This window comes from Homo sapiens, chromosome 9, assembly GCF_000001405.40.
Source record: "Homo sapiens chromosome 9, GRCh38.p14 Primary Assembly".
NCBI classification, from domain to species: Eukaryota; Metazoa; Chordata; class Mammalia; order Primates; family Hominidae; genus Homo; species Homo sapiens.
In genome coordinates, this window is record NC_000009.12 from 62,551,288 (window position 1) to 62,568,781 (window position 17,494).

Sequence of the window (17,494 nt, forward strand, 5' to 3'; positions counted from 1 at the left end):
ATCTGTGCACGTACCAGGACAAAGTCAAATGACAACAAATGGGTGTGGGGAACATCGGTGCAAATACATGTATGATGTTAAGAATACTGATTTCACCATTACTTGTAATAACAAAAAATAAAGAAAACATAGCCATTCAGAGGAGCCAGGTTTAAAAAATTCTGGTACATCTATACAATACCGTTAATTTACGTTTTGGTTTATTTCTTCAGGGCGGTAGACTTACATGTAGTAACATGGAAAAATGTCCATGATGAAATAGTAAATGAAAATAGCAAATTCATGAGAATGCAAATTAGAATCATAGTGCGATACCATGAATGCCTTAGACAAAATAGTCTTCAAAAGTGAAGGAGAAATAAATACTTTTTTTTTTTCTTTCTGAGATGGAGTCTCACTCTGTCACCCAGGCTGGGGTGCAGAGTGCAATGGCGTGATCTTGGCTCACTGCAACCTCCGCCTCCCAGGTTCAAGTGATTCTTCTGCCTCAGCCTCCCGAGTAGCTGGGATTACAGGCACACACCACCACGCCCAGCTAATTTTTGTATTTTTAGTAGAGGTGGGTTTTCACCATGTTGGCCAGGCCGGTCTTGAACTGCTGACCTCAAGTGATCCACCTGCCTTGGCCTCCCAAAGTGCTGGGATTACAGCTGTGAGCTACCGTGCCTGGCAGAGACTTTTGTAGAAAACAAAAATTGAGGCAATTTGTTGCTGGTAGACCTGCATGCAAGAAATGTTGGAATAAGTTAAAAGAAGTTCTTAAGAGAAAAGTAAGACATTTGGATCTACATAAAGGAAGAATATAAAAAATGAATATATGAATGTGAAGTAAAAACTTTGCATTTTCTTATTTTCAACTGATATAGCAGCTAATAAATAATTTGTTCAAAATAATGATAGCAATAGTTATTAGATGTTTATAATTTATTGATAAGTGAAACGAATAATAGCAATGATATAAACTATAGGAGGGAAGAGTTAGAAATATTTTGTTATTATAAAATACTTGCACTACTCATAAAGCAATACAGTATTACTTGAAAGTAGACTTGTACTAATGGTAAATGTACATTGCAAAATCTAGGGCAACCAATAGAAAGGTTTTTTAACAGTAAAAAGAAAGGAAGAATTTACATGCTTAAACGGGAGAGAAAATGGAACCATATAAAATGCTCAATTAAAACCACAAAAGGCAGGAAAAGAGTGGAAGGCAAAAATAGGAAGAAAAAAGCAGGACAACAAATAGAGAATAATAACAGACATGATAAATACCAACCTAACTGCATCTGTAATCATCTTTAATGTCAATGGTCTACATACACCAATTAAAGAATGAGTTCATCTGAGTTGATCCCCCACAAAAAAGACCCAACTATACATTGTTTACAAGAAACTCACTTTAAATGCAAAGACATATAGATTTGAAGTAGGAAATGGAAAAAGATATACAAGGTTAACAATAATTAAAATAAAGCTGAAACAGCTATATTAGTTTTCAGACAGAGTAGACTTCAGAGAGAAAAGATAATTCTGGATGAATATAGGCACTGCTTGATAACGAAAAGTGAATTATCTGAGAAAATATAACAATTCTTAATGTGTGTGCACCTAACAAGAGTGTTAAAATACGTGAGGCAAAAAACTGATAGAACTGCAAGGATAAATAAAAGAATTCACAATCATAGTTGTAAACATCAACACCCTCTATCAGAAATAGAGAGAACCAATAGATAGAAAATCAATAAAATATGGTAGAACTAAACAGCATCATCAAAGAACTGGAAGTAATTAACATCTATAGTCTACTTAGTGTAATGACAGCAGAATACATATTCTTTTCACTCTCACATGGAGCATTCACCAAGATAGGCCACATTCTGGGCCATAAAGCCCACCTTAACACATTTCAAAGTATAAAAACCATGCCATACCTGCTCTCCGAAAACACTGGAACCTATTATACAAACCAGTAATAGAATGATAGCTGGGCAATCTCAAAATACTTGGATATTCAGAAATATACATCTAAATAACATAAGGGTCAAGAAGAAATCTCAACAGAAATTAAAATAATTCTTTGAACTACATGAAAACAAAAGTACCACTAATGGCTCCAAGAGTTTCTCACTTCCCCTATGGGAATGTCTGTATTTCCTACAGAGATCAGTCAAAGCTGCACAGGGAGCCTCCAGGAAGGGTCTCTGACATGGCTACAGTTTTGCGTGGGGCACAGTTGCATACAGCACTCCCGAAAACGTTTCTCTTTCCCAATTAGCTAGCTGAGACATTCCCTAACTAGTCATGGAGGCCAGGAAGGGCATCCCTTCCACCTGGTGGACTGAGTGGGGATTGGTCATAGGAGGCACCCTGCAAAATTGTATCTAAACCCCTCTCTGGAGGCCAGGACAAATCTGAATGGACCATGGAACTGGGGAGAGCCTGGATGGGAGCCAGTGGTCAGGAAGGCCTTGGGGGCTGCTCAGATGGGGCCAGGTATGAAGGCCTGAGAAGGGCACCTTGTTGCATGGGTCTGGTTGGCCCAATGAGTCTCCAGAAAGTTTCTTAAGACCCCTGGTTGGGGGGAGGACTGCATCTGGCTATAAAGTGAAGGCCCCAGGGATGGTTTTGGTGCCCTACTTTCCACTCCAGTCCAAAGCAGTGCCTGTCATCAGAGGCACCAGAAAATATGTTCTAAGTACTCCCTGTTTGTGGGCACCAGGTAAGGATGCCCAGTAAGGCCTGGGAAGGGCTTGTGAATCCAGTCACAGTTCTTCCTGGCCTTGTCGATGGCATGCAAATTCTTTGAATGTTTGCAAGTCCCTCTCTGGAGGAGCAGCAAAGGCCTGAGTGGCTGAGGAGGCCTATTATTTTTGTTTATATTATTTTATATGAAATTATTACTTATGTTATTTTTGTTATTATAAAAAGATGTAAAGTGTGACATCAAAAACATCAAACATGGGAGAAAAGGAAGTTAGAGTGAAAAGTTTGTGTATGCAATCAAAATTAACTGTTATCAGCTTAAATTAACCTGTTATAACATGTTTTATGTAAGCCACAGGGTAGTCGTAAAGCAAAAGCCTGTAATGGATACACAAAAGATAAAAGGAAAAGAACCAAAACATACTACTACAGAGAGCCATGAAGCCACAAAAGAAGAAAGCTAAAGAGGAAAAAAGGACCAAAGGCTCTACAAAGCAACTAGAAAACACTTTAACAATGGCAAGAGTAAGTTCATACGTGTCAATAATAACCTAGAATGTAAATGGATTAAATTCTGCAGTTAAAAGATACATAGTGGCTAAATGAGGTATTTTTTTAAAGACCCAGCTGTATGCTGCCTACAAAAGACTCACCTCACCCGTAAGGACACATGAAGATATTCCATGCAAATGGAAAGCAAAAGAAAGCAGGAGTAGTTGTAGTTTTATCAGATAAAATAGACTTCACATTAGAAATCCTAAAAAGAGACAAAGGAGGTTATTATATAATGATAAAAGCATCAATTCAGCAAGAAGGTATAACAATTATGAGTATATACCCACCCAACACCAGAGCAAATATTAGATCTAAAGGGAGAGACAGACTGCATTTCAATAATAGGAGACTTCAACACCCTACTTTCAGCACTGAACAGATCATCCAAAGAGAAAATCAGCAAAGGAACATTGGACTTAAACTACACTCTAGAGCAAATAAACCTAACTTTTACAGAAAATGTCATTCAACAGCTGGAGAATGTGTATATATTCTTCTCATGAGCACATGGAGCATTCTTCAGCATAGACCATATGTTAGGCCACAAAACAAGTCTCAACACATTTTTAAAAATTAAAATCAGATCAAGTATCTTTTTTGACCACAATGGAATAAAACTAGAAATCAGTAACAAGAGGAACTTTGGAAAATGCACCAATACAACATGCTCCTGAACAACCAATGGGCAAATAACGAAATTAAAAATAAAATTTAAGAATTTCTTAAAACAAATAAAAATAGAAACACAACATACCAAAATTTACGTTATATGTCAAAAGCAGTAGCAGTACTAAGAGGGGTAGTTTATAGAAATAAATGCCTATATAAAAAGGTAGAAAGATTTCAAATATAATGATGCACCTCATGAAACTAGAAAAGCAAGAATAAATCAAGCCCAAAATTACAGGAAGAAGAAATACTAAAGATCACAACAAAAATAAATAAAATTGAGACTAAAAATATGAAAGATCAACCAAATGAAAATATTGTTTTGAAAAGGTAGACAAAATCAACAAATCTTTAGGTAGACTAATGAAAAGAAAAACTCAATGGAATAGAATCAGAGATAAAAAGGAGACATTATAACTGATAAAACAGAAATACAAAAGATCATTACAGACCATTATGAACAACTTACATCAACAAATTGAAAACTTATAAAATAGATATATTCTTGGACACATATAACCTACCAAGATTGAACCATGAAGAAACAGGAAACCTGAATAGAACAATAATTAATAATGTGATTGAATCAGTAATAAAAAGTCTAACAAAGAAAAGTCTAGGACCATATGGCTTTACAGATGAATCCTACCTAATTTTTAAAGATAAGCTAATGCCAATTATTCTCAAACTATTTTGAAAAATCAAAGGGGAGAGAATGCTTCCAAATCTTTTTTAAGGCCAGCATTACCCTGATACCAAAACCAGACAAGGACACAACAAAAGAAAACTATAGGCCAATATTTTTAATGAGCATAAATGCAAAACTCTTTAAAAAAAAAACCCTAGAAAACAAAATCCAACAGCACAGAAAAAAGATTATACACCATGATCAGGTGGTATTTTCCCCCAGGGATGCAAGGATGCTTCAACCTACAAATATCAATAAATGTGATACATCACATACATCACATCAAGAGAAAAAAGAACAAAACCTTGTGATTATCTCAATAGACACAGAAGTAGTGTTTGATAAAATTCAACTCCTCTTTGTGATTAAAAAAAACCCTCTCAACAAATTAGGTATAGAAGGAACATACCTTAAAACATTAATGTTAGTATATGATAAACCCACAGTTAACATCGTACTGAATAGGGAAAAGTTGAAAGCCTTTTCTCTAACATAGAACAAGACAAAGATATTCACTTTCCCTAAGATCCTTCCTCTAAGATCTAGAACAAGACAAGGATATTTACTTTCACCACTTTTATTAAAAAGTGGTCAATCACATCGTTTTCTTTTATTGAAAAGTGGTGAAAGAGTCCTACACAGAGCTATTAAAAAAGAAATAAAGGGCATTGGAAAAGAGGAAGTCAAATTGTCACTGTTTGCAAATGACATGATCTTATATTTAGGATAAGCTATAAAGACTTCACCAAAAAGCTGTTACAACTGGTTAACTATTTCAGCAAAGTGGCAGAATACAAAATCAACATACAAAAACCAGTAGCGTTTCTATATGCCAATAGTGAACAATCTGAAAATCAAGGAAGCAATCCCATTCACCTTAGCTACACAAATATAAAATGCCTAGGAATAAATTTAACCAAAGAGGTAAAAGATCTGTACAATAAAAACTTTAAAACACTGATAAAAGAAATTGAAGAGGACACAAAAAATAAAAAAACTCATATTCATGAATTAGAAAAATTAATATTGTTAAAATGTCCATGCTACCCAATGTTAACTATAGACTCAAGACAATTCCTATCAAGTGGCATTCTTCACAGATATAGAAAAAGCAAGCCTAAAATTCATGTGAAATCACAAAAAAGCCTGAATATACAAAGCAACCCTGAACAAAAAGAACAAAGCTGGAGACATCACACTATCTGACTTCAAAATATACTACAAAGCTGCAGTGATAAAAAATAAAAAGCATGTTTATGGCATAAAAACAGACATATACACCAAAGGAATGAAATAGAGAACACAGAAACAAATCCATGTATTTATAGCCAACTGATTTTCATCAAAGGCCCTAAGAACATACACTGGGGAAAGAACAGTATCTTTAATAAATGGTGCTGGGAAAACTGAGTAACCATATGCAGAAGAGTGGAACTTGACCCTGATCTCTCACCATATACAAAAATCAACTCAAAATGGATTACAGAGTTAAATGTAAGCCTCAAAACTGTGAACCTACTAGAACAAAACTTAGGTAAAATCCTTCAGGACATTGGTCCGAGCAAAGATTTATTGAGTAAGACCTCAAAAGCACAGGAAACCACAGCAAAAATTGACAAATGGGATTACATCGAGTGAAAAAGCTTCTGCACAGGAAAGGAAAAAATCAACAACGTGAAGAGACAACCTACAGAATGGGAGAAAATATTTGCAAAGTATTCATCTGATAAGGGATTAATAATCAGAATACACCATGATGCTCAAACAACTCAATAGCAAAAAAAAAAAAAACAACAACAACAACAACAAATAACCTGATTTTGAAATGGATAATAGATCTGAATAGACATATTTCTCAAAAGAAGAAAATCAAATGGCCAACACATAAATGAAAAAATGCTCAACATGATTGATGATCACAGAAATGCAAATCAAAATCACAATGAGATATCCTTGCACCCCAGTTAAAGTGGCTATTATCAAAAAGACAGAAAATGACAAATGATAAGGAGGATGTGGAGAAAGGGAAATGCTCATACACTGCTGGTAGGAATGTAAATTCGTACAGCTACTGGAAATCTCCACACTGGAAAACAGTGTGGAGATTTGTCAATAAAACTAACCATAGACCTACCATATGATCCAGCAATCCCACTAGTTGGTATATGGCCAAAAGATAAGAACTCAGTGTATCAGAGAGATATCTTCATTCCCATGTTTATTGCAGCAGCACTATTCACAATAGCCAAAATATGGAATCAACCTAAGTATCCATCAGTGAATGAATGGGTAAAGGAAATGTGGTATATATACACAATGGAATATTATTCAGCCAGAAGAAAGAATGAAATTTTGTCATTTGTAGCAACATAGATGGAATTGGAGGACATTAAGTTGAGTGAAATAAGCCAGGTACAGAAAGACAAATATCATGCTCTTACTCATATGTGTGGGCTAAAAAAATGGGAGGTAGTGAACAGAATGGTGTTTAGCAAAAACTGGGAAGGGTAGTGGGAGGAGGGCATGAAAAGGGGTTGGTTAATGGATATAAAAATACAGTTAGATAGATAGAAGGAGTAAGATCTAGTGTTTAGTACCACAATAGGGCAACTATAGTTAACAGTAATTTATTTTGTATTTCACAACTTTCTCAACACAAGGAAACAATAAATGTTTGAGGTAATGAATATCCCAGTTACCCATATCTGATCATTACACACTGTATGCTTGTATCAAAATATCACAGGTACTCTATAAATATGTACAACTATTATGTTTTCATAAAAATTAAAAATAAAAACTAAACTATTAATTGTTCTACTTTGTGGACATAAAATATCTTTCCATTTATTTGTGTTTTCTTCCATTTTCTTTCATCAGTGTTTTATAGTTTTCAGTGTACAGTTCTTTCACCTCCTTGGTTAAATTTACACCTAAGTATTTTATAAGTTTTTTGTTGCTATTGTAATTGGATTGCATTCTTTTTTTTTCTGCCTCCCAGGTTCAAGCGATTCTCCTGCTTCAGGCTCCCGAGTAGCTGGGATTACAGGCACCCGCCATCATGCCCGGCTAATTTTTTTTGTATTTTTTAGTAGAGACAGGGTTTCACCATGTTGGTCAGGCTGGTCACTCTAACTCCTGACCTCAGGTGATCTGCCCACCTAGGCCTCCCAAAGTGCTGGGATTACAGGCGTGAGCCGCTGCGTCCAGCCGGGATTGTATTCTTAATTTCCATTTTGAATAACTCACTATCAGTTTATAGAAATGGTAAATCACCCTTTGTGGATAAAGCATGGGTACTCAGCAATTAGGAGTAAACCCTTCAGCTAATGTCTAAGTTGCTTTCATTGTTACTTTATCTGTTTGATTTCTTGTCTAAAGTTTGATAATGGCAACTAACCCATTTTTAAGAGAAATTAAAATGGATAACATGCATGTGATATTCTGTGAAAATTGCATGACTTCTTTTAATTAATTTAAGGAAACTATAGATGTGTAGTTAGGGCTTTAAACCAAACTGGTACAATTTATTTTCTGCTAAATTACAAAGTTATTTGATTGAATTGACAAGTAATATTGCTTTGTTTTATTTTTAATTCGTTACTGTGCAAATTCACATTTGGAGAATGTAAGATTATATACGAAACCTTGAACCACCTTTAAATAACTATATTTTTATTTATTAAGCCACAAACAGTTTAGTTATGTTGTTATGAGCAAATATATTTACTATTTTTTCTCTGCAATAGGAATAGAGATTTCTTTTGCTCTTCTATCTCAACTGAAAAGGATATATTTTCTGGATCACTGCCATTGGCTCCTTCTATAGTATTTAAAAAATATATGCATATCATAGTGTTAGGCTTCTATAAATACACTACTAACTTCTCTTCACTATAAATGAACTTGAGCAACTCTCATATCTACAATTTCTAGCACCAGGAAAGTGACATTTTCCTTTGAGATGGGGAATAGGCCTTTTGAGGTCATGGTGGAGTCATATACTCCCTTTTATGACAATTATTAGCACCACGTGAGGGCAGAGAGGAATGTAAAAGAAGTATCATTTCAAGTTAATAAGCTACAACCTGCCACCACTGATGGCATGTCCACTTACAGCTCACGAGCCAGCTCTTCATCAATAAGTGCTGCTTTGCAGTGGTTTGTAATTGAATTGTATGATGTAAATGTGGAGACAGCCAATCATGATGTTACAGGATCTTTGGGGTGTCGATTTTCTTGCCCAGAAACCTCTGTGGACAGTGGCATCTTTGCCTGAGTTCTTGTCCTGCATCCAGGAAGAATGAGGTATGCAAAGGAAGGGCGAAGAAGATTAAGAGGAGTTTTATTTAGTGTTAGAACAGCTCAGAGAAGACCCACAGTGGGTAGCTCCTCTCTGCAGGCAGGTCGTCCGGTGGAGTGTTCAGCTTTCAGCAGAGAGGAGGCCCTGGCGAGCCTGGCTGCTCTCCGCAGGCTGGTCATTTGGAGGTCTCTGCAGGTCTCTGAAGCTCTCAGTAGAGGGGAGAGTTCGTCTCTGCAGCTGGTCATCCCATCGTCTCTCTGTCCTCTGCCCTCTCTGGTAGAGCCCAGGGCTTTTATGGACCTCAGAGGGGAGGAAGTACCTGCCAATTGGTCCATGAGCAGCCATTGGCGGCCCAGAGGAGGGACAGATCCCCAGTCCTGTCCACAGGATTGGCAGTCTGGCTCCCAGCCTTCAGGCCCTCCCTGGCTTGAAGGTGGGGCTTTACTGGGGACCCATCCGCTTCTGCCCAGGACTCTCCCTCCCCCTGCCATTCAAGGCCCCAGGGCTCGACCAACCCTGTTGGGAGATTAAAGCTGGTGACAGAAGAGGAGAGAGGCCAGGCAGTGAGAGCAGACATCCCAGAGCCAGTTGGGGGTGGCGGGTGCAGGCTGCCAAGATGCCAGGGTCCTGCGCCTGAGACGGTGGCCTCAGTTGCACCCAGGGAGCTCCCACCCAGCCAACTCAGAAGGGGCGGGGCTTCTGCTTGTCCCGGTCTCCTGCCTGCTCCATGGAGCCGGAAGCCCAGGTCTGCAGCAGTGGGTTGGGTGGCTGCAGCTGCACCCAGGAGGGCAGATCCTGTCGGTTCCCAGCCCCCTCCAAGAGCACAGGGAAGCTTGGATCCACAGCTGCAGTTTGGGGTGGGCTACAGCCTGCTCCGTAGAGCAGGAGGCCTGGGTCTGCAGCCGCACCAGGGAACTCACCCCAACTCAGAAGGGGTGGGGCTCCCACCAGCTTCATGGAGTATGCAGACCCAGCCATACCTCCCTGCTGTAGCCTGCATGATGGCAGCAGCTGCTGCCATCAATGAGAGAAAAAAAGACAAAATTTACCAATATCAGTAATGAGAGAGGTGATCTCACTACATACATTACATATATTAAAAGGCATAATAAGAGATTACAATGCAAAGCTGTATGCCAGTATGTTTGACAGCTTAGAAGAAAAGACAAATTCCTTGAAAGATGTAAACTACTAACACTGACTCAAGAAGAAATAGATGACATGAATAGTCTATTAATTAGATTGAGTTTATAGTTAAAAACCTTCCCACAAAAAAAATTCCAGGCCCAGATGGCTTCGCTGGAGTTTTCTAGCAAACATTTAAGGAAGAAATAACAAATAAACATAAACTCATTCAGAAGATTGAAGAGGAGAGAATACTTTTGAACTCATTCTATAAGTCCAGCATTATTCTGACACCACATTCAGACAGACATTTTTTTTTTTCTTTTTTGAGATGGAGTCTCGCTCTGTCACCCAGGCTGGAGTGCAGTGATGCAATCTTGGCTCACTGCAAGCTCCGCCTCCCGGGTTCAAGTGATTCTCCTGCCTCAGCCTCCCGAGTAGGTGGGATTACAGGTGCCCACCAGCATTCCCGGCTAATTTTTTGTATTTTTAGTAGAGACAGGGTTTCATCATGTTGGCCAGGCTGGTCTTGACCTCCTGACCTCGTGATCCACCCACGTTGACCTCCCAAAGTGCTGGGATTATGGGCGTGAGCCACCGTGCCCAGCCTAGACAGACATTTTAAAAAAATAAAAATACAGTCCTTCATGACCACAGATGCAAAAAAACTTAACAAAGTTTCAAAAAATTGACTTATACCAGTAATTCAAGTTTAGTTTACCATAATAAAATCAACCAAAGCAATTTGGCATAAAGACAAACATTCTGCAAAACAATTTGGCAGTTTCTTAAATGTTAAACAGATACCTACCATATGACATAGCTATTCTTGTCTAGGTATTTACCCAAGAGAAATGAAAGGATATTTTCATATGACCATCTGTGCATAAATGGTCATAGTAGCTTATTTATAACGGATGAAAACTGGACACAATTCAAATGCCCATCTTCAAATGAATGAACACACAAACTGAGCTATATTCACACAACGAGATACTACTCAGCAATAAAAAGGAATGAACTATTGATACATATCACACATTAATGAATTTCAAAATAATTCTGTTGAAAGAAAAAGCCAGATAAAGAAAAGTAAATACTATGTGGTTCCATTTATATGACATTCTGGAAAATAGAAACTAATCATGAGAGAGATCAGATCTGTGGTTGCCAGGGATTTGAGGGAAGCAGGGAGGTTATGGGGGAGGGGTTATCAAGAGGGAGGAGAATATTTTGCTGGGGTGATGGATATATTCCTTATTTTAATTGTGATGATAGTTTCATGGTTGTATACATAAGTAAAAATTTAACAAGTCCTGCACTTTAAGCATGTGTATTCATTATATGCCAATAAAGCCTCAATATGGCTGTTAAACAAAAATTAACTACCGAACTACTAAATATGTGTATCACTCTAGGAAATGAAAGACATCTCTTCAACTGCTTTTGTGTCTTGACTTTTTTCCCAAAGGAAGACCTATATTTTGCTTCATTTCTTTCTACTCTACATTTCTTTTTACTCTGCTTGCATTTAGTTTAAAAAAAAAGCTCTCTGTTGGTGATTTCTAATCTGTTTTAAGGTAAATAATTGTACTGTCCAATTAGAGACTGAGATAACTCATGAATTATCAGACAGGTTGTTCTCCTGTACAATATATATGATTTTGAGTACTAATATTACACAGTGAATTCAGAATTGTGTGTTTGTATATACATACCATAGTCTTATAAATAACTTCAACTTGCAATAATTAACTTGCAGTTAATTCTTACAGTAGCATGAGGTTGGGCCTCTTAAAAAAAGAACTAAAACCAACTCCCTGCCTGAGAATAGAAACAACACACACACACACACATACACACACACACACACACACACACACACAGACCAAATTGAATAATCTTGTTTTCTCACTTACAGTTGTGGGCATTCATTTATGGAGTTCTTGGCAGCTATGTTAGCATAAAACCCCACCTATAATTATCATTCATATTAGGATAATATCTCACAAATGTGGTCAGTATTGTCTTCTGCAACATTACAGTTAGTTGGTGGAATAAGTTCTAGTGTTGTATAGCACTATAGGGTAACCACAGTAAACAACAGTGTGTTGTCTTTTTTTTCAGATAGCTGGGAGAGAGGATTTTTCATGTTACCAACACAAAGAAATGATAAAGGTTTGAGGTGATGGACATGCTAATTACCCTGATTTGGTCATTATACATTGTATACATATACTGAAATATCCCACTGTACCCCATAAATATGTACAATTATTATGTGTCAAGTAAAATATGAATATATATAGTAAATAAATAAATGAAGTAATTTGCCATTACTTAACATTTCATTAAATGTATGTTTCCAAAATTATATTTGTTCTTGAGACCTTTTGAGTGATCACAGTTTCTGCTATTCTCCATAAGGCCTCAGTTTGACCCAGTGATGAAATCTTGAATAAAACACAGAGGAATGTGTTTGTATTTGTAATGCTTCCCTTGCAGGTGAAATGGCCACCAGACCCAGGCTTTCTGGAATGCATTCATTTTCTGCAGTTGAAGGGACGATCCCGGATCTGAAAGAAAGAGCCACAGTGACTCCAAGAGTGGAGCCAGGGCATGCTGGACACTGCATAGCTATGGCCACGTGTGTCACCTCCGAGGGAGATGTGAGAGAAACACAGAGGGATCGCTTGTGACTGTGCCTTCTCGATGTATGATGGACTGTTCTGCTCAAATAGTAAGTGTGAACAAGGAGCCGGTGAACATAGGAAACAAAGAATATTTCATTTGACATTATAAGGAATGAGACAATTCTAGTCACTTGAAAGTGAACTATATCTGTCGAGAATTCCTAGTTTTAATTGCGAAGAAATGTGCTTCTCTTTTTGAAAAGCCACAGGTTATTGCTTTTATATCTAATATCAGTCCTCTCTGGATCTCTCAAAGGATTTTGTGTATATCCTACCATTTTCCTTCTGTTGCTGCAGTTTGGAAGTAGTTTGTTATCAGGATTATCAAAGCATCATTGCTATTTATGACAATGACTAAGAAATGCAAGAATATTTGGAACACTGTAGAAAAAATATTTTAGCCTGGAAGGCAAATACTAATTTCAGGAACTATTGATCTGTTATAAAACAGGACCACTCAGACATTTAGCTCTAGGACTTTGGCATATCTGTTGTTGGAGGCGTATAGTGGGGGGCATGACTCAGCTTCTGCTTAAGTACAAGTTGTCTGCAGCGAAGGAAGAATTTGATTGTAGTATCAACAGAACCAGACAGAACTCTTTGAATATAATTATATATCTTGGAAACTGACTCATCAAAGCTATTAGATTACATAGCATCATTTAAGCATCGTTGGGCTCTGTACTTTTCATTATCTGTACTTTTCATTATGGAGTATAATAGGCTTTATTTGGTACAGAAATTGGGTCTAAGATGGAAACAACTTGTGATTTTTGAATAAACTTTTGGGGATTAGTTACTTTGATGTTGTCAAGATAGCAGCATAGTAAGTCCTCTGCCTTTCCTTTTGATTTATTTATAATTTAGAATCAGTTTATGATTTTAAAAAATGTGACAGACACAGTGGCATGCACCAGTAGTACCAGCCACATGGGAAACTGAGGCAGAAGGATCACTTGATCCCAGAAGATAGAGACCACCCTGGGCAACATAGTGAGAGCCCCATCTCAAAAAAAAAAAATCAATTCCCAATACCATTCCAGAACACTTTTAATATAACCAGATGAAATTGTGATCACTTCTTTACTGTAACGTTTAAAATGGTCCTCAGTCCATATTTAAGTACAATCTTAGTGTTTCTGTGCAACCTAATATATTAGAAACAAAAACTGTATTGCATTTGAATAGGAAATAACTCTGAATTGAGGGTTATTTCGTTTAACAGTTGCAATTAGATTGGTTAGTGACAATTATCTGTAATTTTCAGGCAATGCCTAGGCAAGTGCCCAAGACACAGTAGCCTCCTCCTTGCCTCCGTATGTGTGTGTGTGTGTGTGTGTGTGTGTATGTGTGTGTGGAGGGTGGTAACATTTCTGGGAATTTGTCTTAACATAAAATGATACCACCTTTCACAAAACGACCTAGAGGAAGTTGGAAATCTCACTATCCTGGCTTCCTGCTGAGCAATATCTGCTTCTCTTTCTGACTCAGGCTGATGCATCTGTATACTTAGCTTCACTTCTCCAGTAAATAAGGGAGAGCTTTATTATAAAAGACAACTTCTATTGATTTTCAAGGGGGTGGGTGGTTGTCAAGCTCACTCCTTTCTATGCACTGAGGGAAAATTATTGTAAGCGATCTGTAAAACAATAGATGAAAAAAGAGGAGATAAAAATTAAATAAAATTTAAATAAAAACTAGGATCCTAAGTGGGAAAATAGCTTTAAATTAGAAATTGATACCAAAAAATAATGATATGTAATCTAAGATGAAAATATTTTGAAGACTATCAGCATATCTCCCTTAAATGTTATTTAGTTCTGAAAAATATGTATTGAAGAACTGTTATATTTTACTTTATGTCTTATATTAAATGTGCTAAAATTAAAAAGAAACAAGTAGATAAAAGTAAAGATTGTATTATTATTTTATCACCCAGGTTATTTCAAGACTGGAGACATTCTTTAAATAAACCTAAATTATGACTCCTTGCACTTAAGTTTTGCTAACATAAAAAGTATGTATGATTTCGGAGATTTCTGCATATTTTGGAATGAGCTCTTCAGTTGCTTGTAATTTCCAAGAAGATTACCCATTTTACCCCTTAACTAAAACCCCTGTTCCTTTACTGCCTTGCTGCTTCACTTCATGGGGATATGTCACTGACCAGAGGAAAGATCACATTGAATTTCTGAGCCACGCTGTTTTGTATGGTTAAAATAAGATGCTCAAAGTATGATTTCACAAATCACATGGTTATTGCCATGCAAGGAGAATTTGTTTTCTTAAGTTCACAATGCTCAAAAAGGAGAAGAATAATGTGAACAAATCTACAGGGAATACACTCAAAAGATGAGGCACATTAACCACAGAGGGAGTGAGTTCCAAATATTAAAGTCTAGTTCCTGAAGTAGAAATGGAAGCAGGCCTCTGTGGAAAGGCAAATCGAATGAAAGTTTGAGGTGCACCTTTTTTTCAAGCGAATTCTCTGGAGAGATGGTGTCTTGACACCATGGAGATCCTCAAAGACACCTGGGGTCCCTTGACACCAGTGGGTGGTGCCAGTGATGCAGGCGAGGCTTCAAAGCTCAGCTGCTGACAGGGTGGGGCTCTGTTGCTGCATGAGTTCAGTCTTCCAAGAATTGACTGGCAGGGCAACCCTGTCACAGAATATGCTCTCCATTTTTGGAGAAGTGGCTGAGACTTACTGAAGTTCTCAAAGTGTTCATCGAGCTCTTATGTTTATATGTATTTTGAAATCCAGTGGTTGAGGTCAGTAACTCACATATGATGGGTCTGATGAGTTTTGACATTGCATTCTTTTTCCCCCCACGAGACGGTGTCTTGCTCTGTCACCCAGGCTGGAGTGCAGTGGCCTGATCTCAGCTCACTGCAACCTCTGCCTCCTGGGTTCAAGTGTTTCTGCTGCCTCAGCCTCCTGAGTAGCTGGGATTATAGGCGCACGCCACCACACCCGGCTAATTTTGTATTTTCAGTAGAGACGGGGTCTACCATGTTGGCCAGGATGGTCTCGAACTGGCTACTCTCAAACTCCTGACCTCATGATCCTCCGTCCTCGGGCACCCAAAGTGCTGGGATTACAGGCAGAAGCCACCGCTCCCGGCAGACATCGCATTCTTGAGGGCTGGAGGGAGTACGGTCTAAGTTCTTGTTACAGCAAAACGTAGCAAACTATGCAAGTCTTTGGAATAATTCCAAAACTACATAATAGACATGAGCTCCAAGCTTACTGATTTATGTGTGTGCCTTCTCTGAGGAATATCTTTTGGTTATCCTTGTGCAACATGGCAAATATTTTTTAAAGTGAATGAGAGTTAATGAGAAAATTAAATTATAAAAATATTATGGCAATGAGGTGGATCATCGCAGTGTTCAAGCTACAGATAAAAATATGACATGCCCTCCAACTTTCATTCTCTTTTATTTTTCAGTAATATTCAAAATATTTATTGCAAAAGTTAGCATTTCAATGATGAAATTAAGATGCCTTTCAGTTCAAGTTTGGCAATTTTACATATTTCATGTGAAACTCTGATTTGAAATGTTGCTGAGGGTCTTTAGTATTGCATATGAATAATAAAAATCAAATTTGCCACATATTGGAATAAGATATACAGTATTTTATATGGCAAATGTTTCTCTTCCTTTTAAGAGAAGAAGAGAAATATTAAGGTGGTTATTACTCAAGTGAATCCTACTTAAAAGTAACTTTCTAATAGTTGAGAAGTCACTTATGCATACCTACGTGAGGAAGAAAGTTGAATTGACTGTCATTCATTCAGCCCAGTGGGACATCAAACTCTCCAAACCTTTCACAGTAGGAAAACAAAGCCAGGCCTCCTTAACTATGCTACATGGCAAGTCAAAACATGAACATAATATCTGAAAAAGCCTGAAAAACAACTCTGGCTAACTAGATCTCATTGCAGGCAGTGAGAGAGTGGTGGCAAATGTGAACATGTCTGTGTGGGGTGGTGGCAGGGGAATTGGAATATACGAATCCAAGGAAAACTGACTCTTGGCAAATTACTTGTTTTGGTGCTCCTCTTCATTTTTTTTATTATGGTAGAAGACTTTGTATACAAATTTCTCACTGTACAAAAAACAAGTTCTTCAGTTATTGCATTTCTGCAATATATTAAAATACACGAGAAAATCACATTAAAAAGAGGCATGATTATAGAAACAAAATGTTATTGCAATACGATATCAACTTATAATTCATAATTATATTTGTAAATATCAAATTATAAGTAATTTATGAGAAATTAGAGCCAAAGCTTTTCATACTTACTTTAGTGTTTTTCTAAAGGAAAAACATGGTGAAAGAATTGTAGAGAAGACACAGCTTATCATTAATCCATTTGTCTTGATACTTAACACAGTATTGGTGGCGCATTGGTTCCAGGACTCCCTGGGGATACCAAAACCCATGGATGCTTGAGTTCCTTATGTAAATGATGAAGTATTTGCATGTAACCCACACATACACTCTCTCTTTAAATAATCTCTGGATTACTTATAATTCCCAATGCAATGTAAACACTATATAAATCGTTGTTTTACATACTGTTTTAAAATTTGTGTTATTTTTAATTTTTGAAGATATTTTATCCATGACTGGATGAATCCATGGATGTAGAACCTAGGGATAGGAAGGGCTGACTGTAACTGAGCTCAGAGATTCTGGAAAAGCACTTAAGTAATCAATATTCCAGGAAGGGGGACTTAAAAAGA

The 17,494-nt window shown here is 37.3% G+C and overlaps 1 pseudogene; it reads left to right on the forward strand.

Annotated features, from left to right (window-relative positions):
* On the forward strand, nt 8,551-12,882 carry CNTNAP3P5 (CNTNAP3 pseudogene 5; annotated as a pseudogene).